The following is a 24,302-nucleotide window of genomic DNA, read 5'->3' as shown; positions in this document are numbered from 1 at the left end:
AAGGACTAATGCTACCTGATTTCATGACTTACTGCAAAGCTAAAATAATCAAGAACATGATGTGTGGTAAAAGAATAGACAACTATATCAATGGAATACAATAGAAAATCCAGAAATGGACCTATATAGATGTAGTCAACTGATCTTTGAGAAATGAGCCAAGGATATATAACTGAGAAAACACAACCTTTTCAACAACAATGCTGGAAATACTGGATATCAACATTAAAAAATAAAAAAAAAATCTAGACACAAATTTACACCCACCACAAAAATTAACTCAAAATGGATCACAGACCTGAATATAAAATGCAAAACTATAAAACTACTAGAAGATAACAGAAGAAAAAACTTAGAACTTGAGTTTGGTGAGGATTTTAGATACAACATCAAAGGTATGGTTCATAAAAGATACAATTTATAATCTAAACTTCACTAAAATTAAATTTTTTTCTCTGTAAAAGACGCTATCAAGAGAATGATAAAGCAAGCTGATGACTGAGAAAAAATTTGCAAAAGGTATACCTGATAAAGGACAGTTATCCAAAATAAACAAATAAATATTTAAATTCAACAATAAGAAAACAATCAATTGGATTAAAAAAATAGGCCAAAGACCTTAACAGACCTCTCAAAAAAAAAAGACATGCAGTTGGCAAATAAACATATGAAAAGATTTTCTTAATATATATTATAGAGAAAATACACATTGAAACAATAAGATACTATTACATCTATTAGAATGGCCAGAATCCAGAATGCTGATAGCACCAAATACTGGTGAGCAAGTGGAGCAACAGGAACTCTTATTCACTGCCAGTGAGAATGCAAAATGGTACAGCCATGTTAAAAGACATTTTGTTGATTTCTTACTAAACCAAACAAAATGTGCTCTTACCACACAACCTACCAGTCATATTCCATGGTATTTATCCAACGAATTGGAAAATTTATGTCCATGCAAAAATCTACACAAGCATGTTTATGGACACTTTATTCATAATTGCCAAATATTGGAAGAAACCAAGATGTCCTTCAGTAGGTGAATGGATAAAGATATTGTGGTAACTCCAGACAATAGAATATTATCCAGTGCTAAAAAGGAATCAGTGATCCAGCCAAGAAAATATGTAGAGGAACCTTAAATGCATATTACTAAGTGAAAAAAAACTAATCTGAAAAGGCTATGATTTCAATAAATGATATCCTGAAAAAGATAAAAGTATGGAAACAGTAAAAAGAATAGTGGTTGACAGGGGCTAGTGAGGGGGGAAGATGAATATGTAAATCAGAGAGGGATTTAAGGGCATTAAAAATACTCAGTATAAAACTGTAATGGTGGATACATGTCCTTATATATTTTTCCGAATCCCCAGAATGTACAATTCCAAGAATGAACCCTAATATAAGTTATGGACTTTGGATGATAATAATATATCTAAGTAGGTTCATCAGTTGTAACAAATATACCACTCTGGAGAGGGATGTTGATAATGTGGGATGCCAGGCATGCATAAAGGCATAGAAATATGTCAGTACCATCTCAATTTTGCTATGAACTTAAAACTGCTATAAACAAATAGCCTTTAAAAAACTGAAGCTAATAATTATGTTGACTGATGTTTTTAAGTTCTTCTGATAGTATGTAAGTATCTCTCTACATATACATATAGGTCTACATATATACATTTTCATCTATCAACCTAATCTATTTATCTGTAGCTATATAGATATAGCTATGCAGATATAGCTGTACAGATATAAATTAGATACATTACTTTAGTTTCACTGTTAATGTTATAAAAATCTAAAAGGAAATCATATAATTAAAATAAATATTATTTTGGTGTTCATGAGATTAATACCATGCTAAAATCACATAAGCTGATATCTTTAGAAGATATGTAGTATATAACAAATATGTACATCAATTGCTTTAGTGACTATTTTTCAATTAATGTAAAATTGAATCATTATTTACTTTGATATTCATTGAACATATTAATAGTGTTGGCAACACATGCTCCTACTGTTGCTAGGAGCTGCAGTGTTTGGATCTCAGGTTCTTTTTTCTTTTTTTTTTTTTTTTGAGGCTCATTTTCCATTTTAAAAGGAGATGATATTGGCTTCAAAGGGTATCTTAGCCAAAATATCTATAATTTATGAAAAGATATTTTAAAACATTCTTTAAGATACACAATAGTAAAAGAGATTAAGTTTTTATACTGGAATACCTTACAAAATACTTAGAGTCATAAATCAGACATAGATTATATAAGAAGAGCCTATTCCATGTCTCTACCTTCCTTTATCTGACTCTGGGTCACTGCTCCTCTTTACTCTCTCACGCCCATCTCCTTTTTGGTCTAAGATTTCCTTGAGAACTGATCAAATATTTACAAAAAACCTGAGTCTCAGGCATTCATTTTGGTAGAAATGTAGATCAGGATCTTTGGATTCACAGTCCAGGGTTAGAAAAATGCTTGTCTGAATTCTTCACTCCATAAATCTTGGGTAAACACTGAGCCTCAACCTAGTATCTTGTACCCATCATGCTTAATACAACCTAAGAACTAGATTTGTATCCTATACCTCATCCTAATGGGTCTAATAGATATGTTAGCAGTCTAGGTTCTTTAAAACTGAGACCCTGAATTCCAACCCTTTGTGTAATTCTTGCTAGAGGCCTAAGGAATGCCCCACATACGCCTAAGGAATGCCCCACATACGCCTAAGGAATGCCCCACATATGCCTAAGGAATGCCCCACATATGCCTACTAAAAGAATGGAAATCTTATTCACAGCCATATATCTCTGAAGAATGTATAGAACCTTTCTATGTAAGCACCCTCAAGATTCCTTATATCAACGTCCTTTCTACCTGATTTGACCAAGCCTCTAGATTTTGTCACTTTCACTACTGTACCTTAGATAAGTACCCTGTGTCTTACTGTTCTCTTTTCCCATTTATCTGTTGCTGCGTAGCAAGCCAAAAAAACCTGTGCAACTTAAAATAACAACTGTATATTGGTTTTCATGATTTTTAGGTTGAATGGGGTCACTCTGGGCTCACTCACGTAGCTGTGTTCATCTGCCTGTCAGCTGGAGGCTAGGTTCAACTGAGACGGTGAGCATGGCTCTACCTGTCTTTCCATAGGGTTTTTTGCTCCAGTTTCTTTACAACATGATGTTTTCATGTTCAAAAGTCACAAAAATCTTGTTGCATTCCATTAGTCAAAGCATGCCTGAAACCATCCTCATCATTCAAACTAAGGGAAAATAGACTCTACTTCTTGATAATGGCAACAGCAATTTTCATTACTAAGTATATGATTAAAGGAAATGAAAGAAATTTTGTGACAAATTTTGAAAACAATCTACCACACCACTGTGAACCCCAAAAATCTGAGAAAAATCTCAGTTATTTTAGAAAGTTTATTTTGTCAGTGTTGAGGATGCACGCCCATGACACAGCCCCAGGAGATCCTGCTGACAAGTGCCTACAGCAGTAGGGGCACAGCTTGGTATTATAAATTTTAAGAAGATATGAGACATAAATAAATTATCTACAAGATGTACATTGGTTCAGTCTGGAAAGGTGGGACTACTCGAGGAGAAGGCAGGACAACTCAAAGTGGGGAGGGTGCTTCTAGATCATAGGTAGATAAGAGACAAATGGTTGCATTCTTTTAAGTTTCTGATTAGCCTCTCCAAATGAGGCAATCAAATATGCATTTATTTCATTGAGAAGAGGAGTGACATTGAATAAAATGGGAGGCAGGTTTGCATAAGCAGTTCCCCGCTTGACTTTTCCCTATAGCTTAGTGATTTTGGGTCCCCAAGATTTATTTTCCTTTCACATTTCTCCCTTCTCTTTTTAAAAATCATTTGAAGAAGGCATTTTAGGAGAAAATGAGTCTCTGGTTGCAAGGTTTGACTGATCTTTCATGGCTAGGATGGTTTATTTCTAGGATGGTTTATTAGGAAAGTTCATTTTTAGCAAGTTGTGAAGTTTCATGTCTTATAAAAAGAAACTAAGTGGAGGAAGGGAGAAAAACAAAAACAAAAGAACATTCCTGGAAAATCAATATAGGTGACACTACTCTGAAGTTCATACATCAGTAGGTAGGTATGAAATGGTTTCTGTATGTAAACAGGTTGCTGTTATTTTCTTCTGAAGTTAATTTGTCTAGCTTCAGTTTGCAGGGTGTTACAAAAGCACAGCTTGGGCTTCAGTGACTCCAAATTACGAAAAATGAGGGGGGAAGAAGGAAAAAAGTTGAAAACATTATTTTGAATTCTTGTAGCCAAGAAAAATTTGAATTTGGTCCAAACTGTAGAAAACAATAAAAATTGAAAAACGGGTAAAACTAGAATCTAAAACAGATGTACTATAGTTTTAAAACATTTTTTTTCTCTCTCCAGTTTCCCATTTTGACTAAAGACAAATCATGGCAGGACTGATTTGTTTTATTTTACATTGCCTGATTATTTGTATATGGTGCAGCAAGAATAATTATTTTTTTACATAGGCTTTTAAATTGGCTTTGATGAAACCTTGTTTTATAGAAGGAGCCTCAGATAAGATTTTTTAAAAGCTGATCCCAGCCATGAATTTGTACCATCATATTTGTACATTTGTATCAACCTGTTAGTTGGGCGAATTCTTCTCCTCTTGAAGTTCCAAGATAAATATGGGGCTCCTGGGCCTGTCAGAAAGTGACATTCCTTATTTAACACAGTGCAGAAACCCTGTACAGGGATGGTGTAGACAAGGTATTAGGCCAGTTTTCTCAAGGGCCTTTTGTTTGCTCTGTAAGTTAAGTCTGATCCTTTAAAGGAAAGCACACCATTCCAGTGAAAGCCTTGGTAAAATAATCAGTTTCTCCAATTGTGTCCCGTTATAAATGAAAACAGATTCTTATTGCACTTATGTGAACATCTGTACTGCCATAAGTTAAGAAAATTCGCAAATAGTTCCCAAATTCTGGAGAAATCAGGAACAGAAAAATGAATATGTTCTAAATTTTGTTCCTACGTGTATACTAAATCGTTAAAAGCTGTCAATAGCTCAAAAGAAGTTTACTTGACTCTGAAAAAGCAAAACAAAGGATCAGCAACGTTTTAAGCAAAAATTCGACAAGATTACTTCAGTCTTCTATTAGATCAGTCCCTGTAGTTAATTCCTGTTCTGCTTGATATTCATGAACATCTTAGTTCTTCATGAGTTGTAAAGTTTTTTTCTCTTCTGATGTCACAATCTCCAAACTTATCAGAAACTTGTATTTGAGAGTATACGTTAGAGTTTTATAGCAGATTATAAAATCACCTTCTAAAGAGGACCAATAAAAGACAACAATTGTAGGTGGATGATGAAAAGTTTTAGGGCAGCCATAATCAAGGACACAGTTGACAAGAAAATTTGTTACTGCTGTGGCATACATAATTTAACATAACAATTATAATTATTAGTGATAATGTACATTAAGTCATGTCAGACTTATAGGAGTTTTTCATAATTTTGGAACACATACCAATAACATTCATACAAATACAGCCCAAAGAAAATAAAACACCATTTTATATTTGACAATGTTTCATATATAATTTTTCTACCAAATAAGCCAAAGTATGTCATTTTTGGGCTTTAGGAAACCTAATATCTTAAAAGATTAATTAGATCAGAAAAAGACATAATTTATAATTTGACTTTGGAAAGTTTGCCAAATATCAAAGGTTTAAAACACTTGATATCACAGGTCTTTGTAAAATAAGTCGTTTAATTGGCCAAAGTCAGAACTCAAGGATTTCAAAAAAAGGTGAAAACCTTCATTCTTTGAGAGAGTAGACTTAATTTTCAAAACAATAAGGCCTAATAAAAGCAGCATGAAGACAATTAAATTTGTTTTTCAAAATTTTATAAACAATTGATAAAATTTTATTCTTGATTATATGGTATAACTTCCATAAGCTCTTTATAACCCTTATAACATTTATTAAGGAGACAGTTAATGCTTAAAGAAAACCTTGTTAATCTGAAACAGGAGCCCATATGCTCATCTTACATCAGTGTGCCTTTGACATTAATGATTAACTTATAGAGAAGCTGAACTTATTCTCTTTTTCAATATCTGCCCTTACAATCTCACAGCACACCTCTTCCGTGATAATCCTTGGTCCCTGAGGAATTGAATAGCTTTAATTCCTGGTCTCAGGAATGCAGTTTATTTTTATTGGCATCTTCTACCAGGCCTGAAGAAGAGGCTTTAATTGCTATCAGTGTTTAAGAATTAGCAGGACTTGGAATCCTTTTTAGACCCAGAAGTCAAAGCCCTGTAACTCAATGTCACAAGTACTTTAAAAGCACATAAAGATACATGGATGTAATAACCTTAATTAATTTTCTAAAAAATCTCAGTTTTTTTCCTAAGCAAACCAAAAGTTAATACTAATGGTCTAGAAATTGTTCTGATAAAACATAAAATCTGTTAAACTAGTTACCAAAAGGCAAAATAAATGACCTTATGCACTGCACAGAATATTATGCTGGAATAATTCAATTCCTTCAGACCTTTAAGGAAACATTGTTAGCATCAGGCCACAACCAGTAGAACTTGAGGAAAAAAAAAAACATAATTAGCTGAAAATCAGTTGAAGGAAAGCATTACTATTTCAAGCCCTTTAAAAGGGGAGAGAAAACCAAAAACAGCAAGATGCAATAAAAGTTAAACTTCGGGTTAAAAAATCAAAATATCTTATAATTTATTAAAACAAAAATTAATCCCTACAAAATTTCATTGTTCCAAACAAAAAACTCAAACTCGTCTTCCCTGCTGGCAGTGAGCTCAAACTCTATAAAGGAGTTGCCTGCCTTCCATCATCATCGAAACAGGAAATCTTGCCTTCATCGTTGGAAGTAAGCAAAATTCCAAGAAAAAAGAGGAGGGCTTGTAATTCTAGAATTTTGGGAGACCAAGGCGGGTGGATCACTTGAGGTCAGGAGTTCAAGACCAGCCTGGCCAACATGGTGAAACTCTGTATCTATTGAAAATACAAAAATGTGCCAGGCGTAGTGGCATGTGCCTGTAATCCCAGCTACTTGGGAGGCTGAGGCAGGAGAATCACTTGAACCCAGCAGGCAGAGGTTGCAGTGAGCCAAGATCATGCCACTGCACTCCAGCCTGGGCAACAGAGCAAAACTCCATCTCAAAAAAATAAGGGTGGGTGGGAGGAGCTGTACAGCAAGATGAACTTTAGATCTCAACCAAATTTTGGAAGATCAGGGATTCTATGAAGGGGGTGCTCTCAGACCTCAGCAATTTGTCCTATGGGTTTGAGCCATAAAGTTAGCTCATGCTGGTTTCAAGCAATAGAAGATTTGTCAAAGGTCATGGGCATCTCCACTCAGAATCCCTTCGTGGTTACCAAAATGTAAACCTAGAAAATCTAAGACAGGTTACAGTTAATTTAGAAAGTTTATTTTGCCAATATTGAGGACAGGCTCCCATGACACAGCCTCAGGAGGTCCTGAAGACAACTGCCCAAGGTGGTAGGGGCACAGCTTGATTTTATACATTTTAGGGAGATATAAAACATCAATTAGTATGTTTGAGATGTACAGTGGTTCAGTCTGGAAAGGTGGGACAACTCAAGGCAAAGGTCAGACAACTTGAAGTGGGGAGAGGGCTTCCAGGTCATAAGTGGATAAAATGAAAATCACTGCATTCTTTTGCATTTCTGATTAGGCTCTCCAAATGAGGCAATCAGATACACATTTATCTCAGTGAGCAGAGGGGTGACTTTGAATAGAATGGGAGACAGATTTGCCCTAAGCAGTTCCCAGCTTGACTTCTCCCTTTAGCTTAGGGATTTTGTGGCCCCAAGATTTAGTTTCCTTTTACACCACTCTTAACTCCATTTTTACCAGATTAAATACCATCCCATATTTCACCCACTTCCATAATCATCCAAACAAGCCAATCTGCTGACTCACTTGAGCAATACGATGAGGATCTGATTCCAGTGCGATATGTCATAAACAAGTAGTAAGAAATAGCATGGGCCTTGAGAGAGAAATAATCTCTCCAGTTAAGCCAAAGAGACAAATTATAAACAACAAATTCAGACAGCAATGAAAGGAATCTTTAACTGAGACAGAGACTATATTTGTTGTCAATAACAAAGAGAATGATAACTAGTATTACAGCCAGAGCTGTAGAACCTTAGAATATTACAGTTTTGTCCAGCTACATTTTTCAGTTGATAGGTACATGTGTATGTTGGGATAGCTGAAAAATATGGAGTCCAAATAGTAAAATTACTACCCTGTTCAAGCTCTATTGCTTTCTCAAATCTATTGTACAAATCTCGATTTAATTGCCCTATGCCCACTTGAATTATAATATGACTGCATAATAAATGTAATATTATGAAATATTATAATATATTGCTTAAATATAAATTTAATTCAATATCATTTAGTTTCAGAAAGCTTTTATAAATCAAGGGATCAATTTTCATAGCATTAACATATCTACGCACATGATTTTAAAACCATTTTGCCTAAATATGCTTATGTTGGTTTAGTTTACTTATAAAACAATATAAGAAATATATACATCAAACTTTTTAAAACAGAGTTTCACTCTTGTTCCCCATGCTGGAGTGCAGTGGTGCGATCTCAGCTCACTGCAACCTTTGCCTCCTGGGTTCAAGAAATTCTCCTGCATCAGCTTCCGGAGTAGCTGAGATTACAGGCACCCACCACCACACCCAGCTAATTTTTGTATTTTTAGTAGAGATGTGGTTTCATCATGTTGGCCAGGCTGGTCTCGAACTCCTGACCTCAGGTGACCCACCCGCCTCAGCCTCCCAAAGTGCTGGGATTACAGGCGTGAGCCGTAGCACCTGGATCAAAATTTTTAATCTGAAGATTTCACTGTTTCTTAGAAACTATATCATTGAAAATAGACATTACACTTCAAATGGTAAATTTTTCTATACCATTATTCCAACTTTTAGAAAACCAGAATTTTAAAGTAAAGAAAATAATACATGTTTACCACAACACTAAAATATAAAAATAACACCAAAATCTGCCACAATTCAGATATTCTATTTAAATATTAATTCCTGAATACGTTTCTCTTCCAATGCACAAGACTGAATACTGCTGTACATTAATTCCGTTTAGTGGAAACAAATACAATTCTACTAGGTAAATCTCTAATATGTCTAGACTGTGAATTTGCTTTCAATATTGGCATCTAAAGATTATTTGTAAAATGATCTGAAATTGTGAATAAAACAACTAAAAATAGATGAAAGAAGGAAGAAATGAAGAAACAAAAAAGAGGAAAGGGATAAAGTGATAAACAGAGGGAAAGTGAATTGAAATAGCTTAGCTTTGTATGATTGCCAAGTAAATGGAATTTTATTTAAATAAAATGCTGAAAGATACAAGACAACATATTTTGTTCCTAAGATTTCATCTTTTCTTTACAGAGTATAATTGCTCAAATTGGGCAACTATTCAAATAAAAAAATAAACAGTACATTAAATTTATTAGACCCAAATAAATATCTCAAGATTATTATTTGATAGATAAAAATTATATTGTGATTTCTTTACATTTCAATTTAAGATAAAATAAGATGAGAAAAAAATCTATAAAATTAATCAAATTTGATAATTCTAAACCAAAAATCCCATAAAATATTGTGTTTTATTTGCTTGATAACTGTGGGAAAGTCCTGTCAATGTTGGTATAACTGAATAACTATAGTAAGTTACTGTCATTCATTGGCCACCAATTAAGGAACTGAGTAGGCAATTCTTCTCCAGTCACCCTAAGTTTGCTGACTTCTACCACAGGCTTCTAAGCCTTTTCTTCCCACAGCCTGTGCCTGCAGGTTGAGCCAAAGTTTCTAGACTTGAACAAGCACCCAAGTGTGAAAGAGCATTTGTGCTTATAGGAGAATCAGACACCATGTTTCTATAACAATCTGGCATTTTTAAAATTTTTGGAGGAGGGAGAAAAGAGTTCATTAAAAAAATTTCTTTGTTTATATGTCAAAACCATTCATAATGTGATTAATCAATTTCAAGGTATTGGCAAAACTGGAATATTTTATAATGTTTTAATATCTTTTTAAAATTTAAACTCCTATGTCTAAAATATTGGCAGAAAAGTAAAAAACAGTTTATAAATATCAACTTAATATTTATTAGTCTATTTGTATTTGCTAGTGAGGCATTAACATCATTTATTAAAAATGTTAACCAGACATTCAGGGTGACATTCAGGCCCCTGTCACCATATAGCAAAATTAACTCAAGATAGATTAAAGACTTAAGTATACATTCTCGAACTATATAAATTCCAGAAGAAAACCTTGAAAATAACTTTCTCACATCAGCCTTGGAAAATAATTTATGGCCCTCTTCAAAAGCAATTGCAACAACAACAAAAATCCATGAGTAGGACCTAATTGAAGTAAAGAACTTCCACACAGCAAGAGAAACTATTGACAGAGTAAACAGACAACCTACAGCATGGAAGAAAATATTTGCAAACTATGCATCTGACATAGGCCTACTATCCAGAATCTAAAAGGAACTAAACAAATAAACAATGAAAAAACAACCCCATTTAAAAGTGGCCAAAAGATACAAACAGACACTTCTTAAATGACGACATCCAAGTGGCCAACAAACATACCAAAAAGTGGTCAGCATCATAATCATTAGAGAAATGCAAATCAAAATCACAATGATATACTATCTCACACCAGTGAGAATGGCTTTGTTAAAAAGTCAAACAATAATAGATGCTGGCTAGGTTGCAGAGAAAATGGAATGCTTATACACTGCTGGTGGGAGTATAAATTAGTGCAGCCACTATGGAGAGCAGTTTGGATATTTTTCAAAGAACAGGGTTGAACTACCATTTGACACAGTAATCTCATTACTGGGTATATACTCAAAGGAAAATAAATTACTGTACTGAAAATACAGGTATCCATATGCTCATCATAGCACTATTCACAATAGCAAAGACATGAAACCAACTCAGGTGCTCATCAGTGGAGGATTAAAGAAAATGCGATACATATGCACCATAGAAAATAATGAAATTATGTTATTTGCAGCAACATTGAATAGAGCTGGAGGTGATTATCCTAAGTAAACTAATGCACAAGCTGAAAACCAAATACCACATGCTCTCACTTATAAGTGGGAGGTAAACATTGGGTACACATGGACATAAAGATGGGAACAATAGACATTGGAGAATACAACAGGGGAAGGGAAGAGGGAGACAAGGGCTGAAAAACTACCTATTGGGTACTATGATCACTTCCTGGGTGACAGGTTGAATTGTACTCCAAACCCCAGCATCACACAATATACCTTTGTAACAAGCCTGCACGTGTACCCAAGAATCTAAGATATATGTTGAAAAAGAAAAAAAGATTTAATTAAAAAAACACTAATTTCATATTGAAATGATGATATTTTGGACATGGTAACAAATAAAATATATCATTTTTCTAAAAAAAAAAGTTACCCTGAATTTACATCTGAATGTATATGATGTTTTAGAGAAAAAAGTTTAAATTGTTCAACCTTTGATATTTATTTTCATAATTTTGAGACATACATATATATATATGTAGGTTTATATATATAAAATCTCTTCAAACGCTTGATTTGAAGTCAAAATTTTAAATGCATTAAAAGAACAGAATATGCATACCTCATTTGAACATTCTGAAACTTTACAATATCTGCTGAAATTTGGCCTTTGATGCTAAAATACTTTTTGTTTTATTAGAAAGAATGTATTTTAATTATATATTTAAACTAATTATAGTTAGGGTTGCCCAAGCCACATTAATGATGACCAAATTTCCTTTTTCTATTTTCATGTAAATTCCAAATCTGTATGCCCATTTAAAATAATGAGTTCTGCAGTATTAACAGGAATTTAATATACTCCTTGGCAAACATTGGAAGTCACTAAACTGTTTATATTGTATGAATAATTTTTTACTTAGTTTTGTCCTTCCAATTATTAGATTAAATATCCTTGGCAAAATTAACAATGAAAGTACTTTTTCAAGAATTCACTCACTAAAAGCAGTAAGAATAATCTGGCTGTATGGTATTCTTTTTCTCCTCCTTCTTGCCTCACCTAATAATAGTCACGAGATCAAGATGAAACTACCAGAATTCAGTTGATCTAAAAATAGATAGAGTCTCGTCAGGCCAGCTGTTAAGAAAATGAGAGTAAAGGAATGCTCAGCCAGAACTGAATAATTAAACTCTGCAATGATCATGAAATGCAGAGGACTAAGTCACTGGTCTGAGTGGCAGGCAGTTGGACCCGAGCAGGGAGACAGGGAGTAAAACTGAAAGTGCTATCAATATCAAGAAGAGTCACTCAGAAGCATAGTATTCAAGTTGACAGGCAAAACTTTAAATTTTAAATAGAGTTTCTAGGTTGGATACATGCAGGAAGTCAGAAATTCACATAAGCTGTTGTAGAAGGAGAGATAGATTCACATACAATGGCAGCCATTTTTAGGCCTTTTACTAGAAGCTAGAAAATGAGAGGGGAGATTACAAACGAGAAATCCTAAAAGAATGTAGTAGGGGAACTTGTAGCCAAACACCTAAAACATCTGATACAATAATTATTACATAATTAAATTATCTAGGAATTTGTATAATAGGGTGTTAGAAGAAAGGATATAAGAACAAGAATATATAATTTTATTTAATATAATACCTAAATCCTGGTCAAATAAAGCAAGTGAAAGTAAAATAAAAATGAATTTACTACAAAGTTATTTAGTTAAACCTAAGCAAAATATTTAAAAACACATTTTTCCGTCTACAATTACCATCTAGAAGTATAAAAGTGGTACAAGTGTAATTTTTGCTAAAATATAATTGGCTGTTTTTCTTGTTGGTAGATTGTTCTTTTTTGTTAAATATTTAAGCTAAGCCTACATAATCTATTTTTATTACTGAATAAATGATCTTCTGAACTTTTGGTGAGTGGCCAAAAAAGACATATATGGGTATTTACTATCACTTTAAATGTCTTCTCCATCAAATTACATCTTCATATCCTTTTTGGTAAATCTCTCAAAGCCAGGTTCAATGAAAGCTAATTAAGCCACTTCATCAGCACGTCTATTACTTAGGGCACTTTCACTTGCAAGTAACAGAATATGTGGCCATGGCATGAGGACTAAAATTACCGTTTAATATTATATGTTGCTTTTACATCTGGGAAAGTTGAGAGGATTTCAAATGGCCTAACTACGAGTTGTCTACCATACTCTGCTCCTGTGGATAAAGTCCCCTAGCCAAACAGCCCTCCTTATCAAATAGACCAAATGCAGTTCTCATTTATCTCTAGAGAGCAGGTTTCAGTTTACTGCCATTTAAATAGTTATGCAAACAAGCCAGTCACATACTCTATGGGAACCAGGAATTACCTCAAATCCTTGATACTACAAGCCTTCCTCCAAGAACGCCTGGTTGTTCACGCTGTTCTTGAGTACACTCTCTGTGGGGCCCTGCATGAAATGTAGTGTCTTTCTCTCTGAACTGTGATTATGTGACTAATAGACTGTTGTCTATATCATCTGTTCAGTGTTGGGTATCAAGTGTTCAGCCAGCTGCATAACTCTAGGATGGATATCCCTCTCATATCAATGGGGTGAAGATGAGGTGATGAAAACAATGACTAATAGTGGCTTAAAGAATAAACTTAAATGATTCAAAAGCAAAAAACAAACAGCCCCATTAAAAATTGGGGAAAGGACATGAACAGACACTTTTTTAATTATTATTTTGAGACAAAGTTTCACTCTTGTCACCCAGGGTGGAGGGCAGTGGTGCGATCTCGGCTCACTGCAACCTCTGCCTCCTGGGTTCAAGCGATTATCCCGCCTCAGCCTCCCAAGTAGCTGAGATTACAGGCACCCACCACTACTCCCAACTAATTTTTATATTTTAGTAGAGACAAGGTTTCACCATGTTGGTCAGGCTAGTCTCAAACTCCTAACCTCAGGCAATCGCTTGCCTCGGCCTCCCAAAGTGCTAGGATTACAAGTGTGAGCCACCGCGCCTGGCTGAACAGACACTTTTTAAAAGATGACATACTTGTGGCCAACAAGCATATGTTCAACATCACTAATCATCAGAGAAATGAAAAATCAAAACCACAATGACATACCATCTCACATTAGTCAGAATGGCTATTATTTAAAAGTAAAAAAATAACAGATTCTGGTGAGGTTGCAGAGAAAAAGAAACACTTATACACTCCTGGGAATGTAAATTTGTTCAGCTATTGTGGAAAGCACTTTGGCAATTTCTGAAATAATTTAAATCAGAATTACCATTTGATCTAGCAGTCCCACTATTGGGTATATACCCAAAGGAATAAAAATAATTCTACCAAAAACAAACAAACAAACAAACAAACAAAACACATGTGTTACCACTCAACAGACACACCTTGCCTGGATACGTAGACAGAACCGACTTATCAAGACAGAGGAATTGCAACAGAAAAAAAGTTTTTCACATAGCACTGGCTGCATGAAAGACCAGTTTTATTATTATCCAAATCAGTATTCCCAAAAACTTAGGAAGGCAGGAGTGCAGTGGTGTGATCTCAGCTCATTGCAGCCTCCCTGTCCCGGGTTCAAGTGATTCTCCCAGCTCAGGCTCCTGAATAGCTGGGAATACAGGCACCTGCTAACATGCGTGGCTAATTTTTTGTATTTTTAGTAGAGACAGGGTTTCACCAGGTTGGACAGGCTGGTCTCAAACTCCTGACCTCAGGTTATCCACCTGCCTCAGCCTCCCAAAGTGCTAGAATTACAGGTGTGAGACAAGGCACCCGGCCAAGACTGAATATGCTTAAGATATCCATATTGCCCAAAGTGGTATATAGTTTCAATTCAACTCCTATCAAATTCCAATTATATTTTTTGTAGAATAGAAAAATTTATCATTAAATTCATATGGAATCTCAAACAACCCCTAGTAGCCGAGACAATCTTGAAAAAGAAGAACAAAGCTGGAGGACTCACACTTTCTATTTCAAAACTTACTGCAAAATAGTGTAGAACTAGCATAAAGACAGATGCACACACCAATGGGATAGAATAGGTATCCCAGAAATAAGCCTTCTCATATATGGTCATATGAGTTTTGACAAGGGTGCCAAGACCATTTAATGGAAGAAAGACAATCTTTACAACAAACGGCACCAGGAAAACTGGATTCTCACTTTCAAAGTAATAAAACTGGATCCTTACCTAGAACCAGATACAAAAATTGACTCAAAATAGATCAAAGACCTAAATGTAAGACCAAAACATACACAACTCTTAGGTAATAACATAGGGCAAAAACCTCACAATATTAGATTTGGAAATGAGTTAACAGACATGACACAAAAGACACATGCAACAAAAGAAAAATTAGACAAATTGGAATTTATAACTTTTTTTTTTTTTTCTGAGACAGAGTCTTACTCTGTCTCCCAGGCTGTAGTGCAGTGGCACAATCTCGACTCACTGCAAGCTCCGCCTCCCGGGTTCATGCCATTCTCCTACCTCAGCCTCCTGAGTAGCTGGGACTACAGGCGCCTGCCACCGGGCCCGGCTAATTTTTTTTTTTTTTTGTATTATTAGTAGAGACGGGGTTTCACCATGTTAGCCAGGATGGTCTTGATCTCCTGACCTCATGATCCGCCCGTCTCGGCCTCCCAAAGTGCAGGGATTACAGGCGTGAGCCACCGCACCCAGCCCTATAACATTTTTAAAAAATATTTATCAAAAGACACTACCAGCATAATAAAAAGGCAACCAGCAAAATGACAGAAAATAGTTGTGAATTTTATATCTATAAGGTATTAATATTCAGAATTTGAAGAGAACTCTTAAAACTCAGCAAGAAAACAAATAACTTACTTAAAAAAATGGGCAAATATCTTGAATAGACATTTCTCCAAAGAAGGTATACAAACGTCCAGGAAGTACATGACAAGATGCTCAAGATCACTAATCATGTTGCAAATCAAAACTACAATCAGATACCACCTCACACTCATTAGAATGACTGCTACCAAAAAGCCAGAAAGTAGCAAATGTCAGCAAGGATATAAGGAAACTGGAACTCGTGTGTGTGGGCACTGTTGGTGGAAATGTAAAATGGTTCAGCCACTGTGGAAAACAGTACGGCAGTTCCTAAAAAAAAATTAAAAGTAGAATTACTATATCATGTAGCAATTCCACTTCTGGCTATATCCCCCCAAAATTGAAAGCAGCGCCTTGAAGAGATATTTGTATACCCATGTTCATAGCAGAATTTCACAACAGTTAAAATTTGAAAGCAAACCAAGTGTCCATTAACTGATGAGTGGATTAGCAAAATGTGCTATATACATACATAGAATATTATTCAGCCTTAAAAAGAAAAGAAATTCTGACATATGCTGCAATGTGGATGAACCTTGAGGATATTATGCTAAGTGAAATAACCCAATCACAAAAAGATCAATACTGTACGACTCCACTTATATGAGGTACTCAGCAAAGCCAAAATCATAGAGCCAGAATGCTGACAGTCAGGGGCTGGGGAGAGTGGAGAATGGGGAGTTATTGTTTTTATAAGTCTAAAGTTTTAGTTTTACAAGATAAAAAGAGTTACGGAGATGGATGGTAGTTAGGTTTGCACAACGTTATGAATGTATTTAATGTCACTGAACTTAAAAGTGGTTAAGATGGCAAGAGTTGTGCTGTGTTTATTCACCACGATAAAAAAAATTAGTTATTTCACATGAGAAACAGACAGTAGTCTTTTCATGGTTGTTTCAACATCTCAACCTGATTAAGGATGTAAGCTGTTCCAACATTTCCAAGCATTCACTTGACTATGTGTGGACTTGCATTTAATATCTTTGCTGATTTTAATAGAATACATTTTGTATTTGGGCTTGTTTTTTTCATATTGCTGGTCTTGGCATTATCATATTCTCACACAATTGTATTTTGTTATAAAATGCAAATGGTCCAGACAGGAAAGGAATGGTGGTGTTCTTGCACCTTTCTTTTCCTCAGAAAGGAAAATTTGTCTTAGAATCCATCAATGTCTCTCCCCTGGGAAGTCAGAGAAATGACGTTTTATGACTGTTAGCAGGTAATAAATGAGACCTACCATAACTTAATTGCCTCAAATTCCATATTCTTCTATGAATTGTATGAATTTGACAAACCACCCAAAATATATACCAAATTTACCATTCTGTTAAAAAATTCCATTAAAAGGTTTTCATATTCATGAGTTACTTTGTGTTTAATACATCATTTTTAAATAAATTTATCTAGCATTGCCTTCTGAATGTATGAAGATTATTTCAATTTTTGTTTTTATGTTTTTCAAAATAGAAAAGGCTATAAAATACTTACTATATTTAATATTAAATTGTATTCTATTCTATATTAAAATTTAAGTTATTTTTATAATGCATTTTTCTCGTTAATATAATGTTAGCCTTTGTTTAATATTAACCAGTTTATATTTTGCTTGACATCTTATTTTTTAGTTACTAGGTTCCATACCAGATTGGTAAACAGAAGCATATTAGCTTTTGGCAAAATGGCATCTCCAAGCAATGGAATATATTTTTATACATAGGTGTATACACTAATTTTTTTCTAACTTTATTTATTCTAAAAAATTTGCTATTCTTCAAAACAGAATTAATTTAGAAACAGATTAAATCACCACAGGTAAATCGGAATTGATTATAGCTTGCGCTTATACAGTAGATAGTATATGCTAGATCTGTACCTATGTTGTATTATTTAATAGATCAAATACATGAATGCCAAGAAAATTGAGTGCACAGTACTCACTTGCTAAACGTGAAGTACTATAATAATAGAGATAGAGTGTTTATTTAGTCAACATACAAATCCTATGAGTTAGGTTTACTTTTCCTCATTTTATAAACTAGAAAGCATAAGCACAGAGAATGTAATATTTTTCACATTCAAACACTGGTAAATTAAAGTCAATATTCAAACTTAGGCCTATAAGATTCCAAATGGTTTTATCTTTCTTCACCATTAGGGGAGGAAAAATAGTATTCTATAATATCATTATGTGGAAAGATCTGTTGGGAAATCAAATGAGCCCTACCCTGGCATGTAAAACATATAAACTGAAAATTCTAGAAAAAAAATTACTTTCAGCCTCTAAAAATATATATCCCCTTCAACCTCACTCTTTACATGAAGAATTCCAAGAAATATCACACTTTCAAGAAATGACAAATATTTTTCCTTTGATCATTTTCTTCCCACTCCCACATCTCCTTCTCAAGGATGTATAACTGATGTATAATCAGCTATTTTTTTTAGAAGCCTCTCTCCTACATCCACATAGCCCTCTGTCAGAATCATGGGGAACTGAACTGTGATTGATATCTCACCAGCCATGCTAACAAGAGAGCGTTCCTTTCTGGAATTTAAACTGGACCCTAATGTTTCTAATCACTCCCCAAAGACTGTGAACAACAAAGTCTTGCAGAAGAAATGCTGGGCCTGAAATTGAGAACATGGAAACAGATAAGACAAAAGAGGCAGAAAAAGAAATCTTATAACTTTAGATAAAGAGGAATACTGAGAAGCAGAGATAGTGAGAGAGAAGAAGATCTAGATTAAGAGTGAGTAAAAAAAGAGCAATATCCTTGATTCCTCATGGCTTGCTAGTTCCTGGAGTCAGACTTTTCAAAAGCCTCATTGCAATTAAGACATCAGGTCTCATGAGATACATCCATATCATTCCAATGAATTACCTTTTTGACTTTAATCTTTCTTTATTATCTCCTTGGAGTTAAAGGAGCCCCACTTGAGAAAAGAGAAATGCAGTACAAATTGACTTAAGTTGTGCAAAACTCAAATGAGTGAGTTTTCTATTTTTGGAAATATACATATATTTTATGCTTATAAATATATGTGCTGCATTTTTTCATAAATTATACTAGATATAATTTGTGAAAATTCTGCTCAACATGCTTATATTTCCCAATTGACATGGGAAAACATTTATGTACAGCCAGTTTATTCACGTGTAATCTCGTAATTATAACACTTTAATACAAAATCTGAAATAAATTACAAAAAGCAATTTTCACATAATTGGAAAAGTGCTCATGCATATTTATTACTCCAAGTTGTACAAAAATAATTCTTTTCACATTTCTGCACTTCTTGGAAACTATGAAATTTAAAAGATGAAAAGAAAAACACTGAGCATGCCAAATGTGTAGATAAACACTTTCTTCTTTATTTCTAACACTTCATTTTCAATCTATTTCTAGAGAAGCAATAAACTGACACATATCATATTCCAGTACATTTTGCTCACTGAAATGTTGGCATGTTTGACACTCAATTGTGTCAATTTATCACGAGCATCCAGATTTTAGAACATATCACTGACATGATTTTCAGCAAGCAGTCTACTAACAGAAATGGTGTTAGTTTAATAATATAAAATAAGTTGAGGGAGCAGACTTGGGTTTTTGAAATATTTCCAGCTTCATTTTAAGAAATTGACAGTTATTTAATCCTTTAGTTTCTGACAAATAGTGGAAAATACTGAAGATTACATGATAAAATGAGGACATAAGATCAAGTTATCATACTATTAAAAAAACTTCTCTACTGGAGGAATAAGACTTCAATAAATATAAAAGAAATAATGTTTTGTGTTAAAAAATTATAAATCAGTTTTATAAAATAATACTAAATTGACCATTTATTCAAACAAGATAGAGAATATCTTACTGATCACAACTTTCTTTCTCTCCAGAATCATTGTCTACTGCTGTTAGTCTTAAACTTCACAGCCTAGCTATCCAGAACTCCTCCAAATTCTCCACACATACAGCATACTGTTTCACACCTGTACTTGTGCTCATATTAATCTCCTTGTTGAGACTTTCATCAAAAAGCCTGTCTTTTAACACATCGCCCAACACTTGCCTAACACGTTAGGCAAGAAACTTTTTCTCTATTGTCCCATGATACTCCACGCCTAGTTTTGCCACTTTAAATAACATACTATAATAACCTTTTTAGGTGTCAATTTCTCCTAAATGTCTAATATGTCTTAAATATATAAGCTATTTCTGCCCATTTTTGTAATCCTCTGCAAATTCCTGAACTTCTATTGATCCCTGTTGTGGGGTAATAACCAAAATTACATCCTCACTTTCCTGCTTCATTCCTGGTATAGCTAACAGCCTCTACCACATCGGAGTCTGTTCCCAGCTGGAGGAGATGAAAGAATGGCTGCTTTCTTGTTGCCTTCACCTGGTAGTAATCATGCTAGACAGACTCTTTTCTCTAGAGCTTTCTTTCCACATCACAAGATCTCTAAGCATGACTAACTTAAGTGCACTCTAACTTCTGAATTGCAGCCCAGTTGCCCTCCTCCCAGAATACCAAAGCAACCACCATAGTTATTGGTCACTGTCATTGCTTTTGCAATAAAATTTACTGATGACTTCATAATGATGTTAGGTTTTCAATTATGAATATTAACATTTCTTTAAACAGTCAGCTTTCACTTTGCCAACAAAACATACTACTACATTTTTGTAATCTAACATTGGCAGAAGAGGCAAAAAGGCAAGAGATTCCTCTACCTACTGAGCCAGTATTAAAGATAATCAAAGCACTTGTGAGGTTCTTCCTCCCCAGAAAAGAGATGTCAGTGCTGTCACCACTAACTAGCAGAGTGCATCATCCAGACATTACTGTCATCCACGCATCACTTGTAGCTCAAAAATTTCAAGTTAAGTTCCTATTCAAAAAGAGTTAAGGGTCTTGACTCTCTAGCTTTTCCCATTTGACAAATATTACAACTTATATAAGAAATCAGCATCTTGAGGATTCATCACCAAGTAGCACAAGATGGAGAAAAAAGAATGGAGTTAGCAAAAAAACCCAACTTCCTCCTTTCCTCTTGGCCATTTACCTAAATAATGCACTGCTGGAACTACCAGTTTAGCCAGATTAAATGTTTAGTTAAGCAGTCTCCTGGAGGATCAAAAGCATCACACTCTAGCACATCATAGCCATCATACAGAGAGGAATCCAATCTCTCTTTCCAGTGAGTTCCCCACCCTTGACTGTCCAACAGGCAGGGTCCCTGGCTTGGGACCACAGAGCAGCCACCCCACCAGTGATGAGCATACTCACTGGTAGTGACTCTGTGTTTCCCTAGGGAGGGACTCCCAGAGGCAACCAACAGCCCCTCTGCCACTGCCACAGCCATGGTTTTCCCCGTTGCCCCTGTTGTCCTCAGTCTGGGAAAGAAACAAAGAGCCCAAGGGCTTCACCCAAGCTTCCAGCATACCACAGTTACCACAGAAAGAGGAGCCCAGTATCTCATCCCTGTGTGCCTTTGATCCCCCACTCTCTAACAAACAGAGGCTGCTGTTCGGGCAAGCAGAGCAGCTGCCCCATCCCCTGGCTGAACATTCCCAGTAGCAGTGGCTCTGTGTTTCTCTGAGGTGCAGCTCCAAGAGGCAACTGAAAGCCCCTCTGCCACTGTTCCTGTAGTGGTACTGCCGTTTCTGCCCTCAGGCCGAGGAAGGAGCAAAGACTCTGAGTGCTTTAACCACACCTCCAACAAGCTGTAGTAACCCTAAAGAAAAGAAGCCAGTCTGTCTCCCCAAGCCCCACCCACCCCTGCTATTTGTTGCAAGGCAGGGCCCCACTTACTTGGTCTCACAGCACAGCTGCCCCATCCTAGGCCAATCATACTGATTGATAGCAGCTCTGCGTCTTTCTGAGGTGGAGCTCCAAGAGACAAGTGAAAAACCCTCTGTCACAACCACTGCTAACTTTCCTTCCTCTGATTCCTCCAAGATGGGAAGGGATATAAAGCTTGAGATTGTCCCAGAGCTGTGGTGTGCAGCTTGGGAGTGCCAAGCCAAGATTTTCAGCCAGCAATCAAGAGGGAGAGGAGCCCAAGATTTCAGAGCACTAAGAGGGAGCACAGAAACAACTGTGAAGAGCCACATGACTGAGCAACAGCCTACCTACTGGAAATTATGCTTAAGCACCACCTACTGGATCACGGCCCAAAACATCAACACCAAAATACTCTGCTAATATACCTCCCTGTGAAACCCAGGACAAAAATTTCACTGCAAATAAAGACTGAACAAAGCCTTGGCCCTCTGAAAACACACAGAAAAGAAATCTACTGACTGTAATCAATTTATACCCTAGTTAAAGGAACACCAGCCCACACTGATGAGAAAGAAAAAGCACAAGAACTCTTACAACTCAAAAAGGCATCGTGGCTTCTTTCCTCCAAATGAACACACTAATTTCCCACCAGGGGTTCTTTAGCAGGCTGAAATGGCCAAAATGACAAAGATCATCAAGATTCAGGAGAATGTCGAAACCCAATCCAAGGAAGCTAAGAATTATAATAAAATGAAACAGGAGCTGTTAAATAAAATAAACATTTTTTAAAAAAGAACAAACTGACCTGATAGAGCTGAAAAACACACTCCAAGAATTGCATAATGTGAGTATTAACAGCAGAACCGACCAAGCCAAGGAAAGAATCACAAAGCTCAAAGGCTGGCTCTCTAAAATAACCCAGTCAGACAAGATTGAAGAAAAAAAAATAAAAAGAATGAACAAAATCTCCAAGAGATAGGAGATTAGGCAAAGAGAACAAATCTACAACTCATTGGTTTATGTGAAGGAGACAGGGAGGAAGCAAGCAACTTGGAAAACATATTTCAGGTTATTGTTCATGAAAGCTTTCTCAATCTCACTAGAGAGGCCAACATTCAAATTCAGGAAATGCAGAGAATGCCTGCACGCTATTATATAAGAAGACCATTCCTAAGACACATAATCATCAAATTCTTCAAGGTCAAAATGAAAGAAAAAAACTGTTAAAGGCAGCTAAAGAGAAGGGACAAGCCACCTACTAAGGAAACTCCATCAACCTAACAGCGGAGCTTTCAGCAGAAACTCTACAAGCCAGAAGAGATTGGGTGCCTATATTCAACATTCTTAAAGAAAAATTTTCAAACAAGAATTTTATTGCAGCCAAACTGAGCTTCATAAGTGGAGAAAGAAGATTCTTTTCAGACAAGCAAATGCTGAGGGAATTTATTGCCACCAGATCTGCCTTAAAAGAGGTGTATTTTGCTAAATACAAAAAGAAAAGATTATCATCAGCCACTACAAAAACACATTTAAGTACACAGATCAGTGATACTGTAAAGCAACCACACAAACCAGTTGGTGTATAATAACTAGCTAAGAACACAATGAAAGGATCAAATCCACACATATCAGTACTAACCTTAAATGTAAATGGGATAAATTCCCCAATTAAAAGACACAGAGTGACAAGCTAGATAAAGAAGCAACACTCAATTGTATGCTATCTTCCAGAGACCCATCTCCCATGAAATAACATGCATAGGCTGAAAATAATTTGATGGAAATAATCTATCAAACAAATGGAAAACAGACAAAATCAGAGGTTATAATCCTAATTTCAGACCAAACAGACTTTAAACAAAAAAAGATTAAAAAAAAAAAAAAAAAAGAAAGGCATGACATAATGTTTGTATTAGTCTATTCTCACGTTGCTATAAAGAACTACCTGAGACTGGGTCATTTATAAAGAAAAGAGGTTTAATTTATTCACAGTTCCACAGCCCACACAGGAGGCTGAGAAGGCCTCAGGAAAATTACTATCATAATGGAAGGTGAAGGGGAAGCAAGAGCATATTCACATGGCAATAGAAGAGAAAAACAGTGAAAAAGAAAGTGCCAAATACTTTAAAACCATCATATGTCAAAATAACTCCTCACTATAATGAGAATAGCAGGGAGAAATCTGCCTCCATGCTCCAATCACCTCCCACTACATTCCTCTCCTGACATTGGGAATTACAATTCAACATGAAATTTGTGTGGGGATGCAGAGAAAAACCATATTACTGTCCTCCTGGTCCCTCCCAAATCTCATGTCCTTCTCACATTTCAAAAGACAATCATGCCTTTCCAACAGTTCCCCAAAGTCTTAACTTATTCCAGCATTAACTCAAAAGTCCAAGTCCAAATCTCATCTGAGACATGGCAAGTCCCTTCCACCTATGAGCTTGTAAAATAAAAAAACAAGTTAGTTACTTCCAACACACAATGGAAG

General features: G+C 35.4%; 1 long non-coding RNA gene across 6 annotated transcripts in view; it reads right to left on the bottom strand.

The window, feature by feature from the left end:
• The window catches only part of LOC105374191 (uncharacterized), a 237,185-nt gene extending 214,501 nt beyond the window's left edge, over positions 1-22,684 (bottom strand). For 5 of the 6 annotated variants that reach the window (XR_001740998.2, XR_001740999.3, XR_007096284.1 and 2 more), the window contains exon 1: positions 21,836-22,125. This is a non-coding gene — a long non-coding RNA (uncharacterized LOC105374191). Of the gene's footprint in view, positions 1-21,835; positions 22,126-22,613 lie in introns of those variants that run through there. The other variant, XR_924663.2, reaches the window with a different exon arrangement.
• Positions 22,685-24,302: the final 1,618 nt, after the last annotated feature.

The sequence above is a fragment of the Homo sapiens genome, chromosome 3 (assembly GCF_000001405.40).
Source record: "Homo sapiens chromosome 3, GRCh38.p14 Primary Assembly".
Classification (NCBI taxonomy): Eukaryota; Metazoa; Chordata; class Mammalia; order Primates; family Hominidae; genus Homo; species Homo sapiens.
This window is presented reverse-complemented; position numbering and strand designations above follow the sequence as displayed.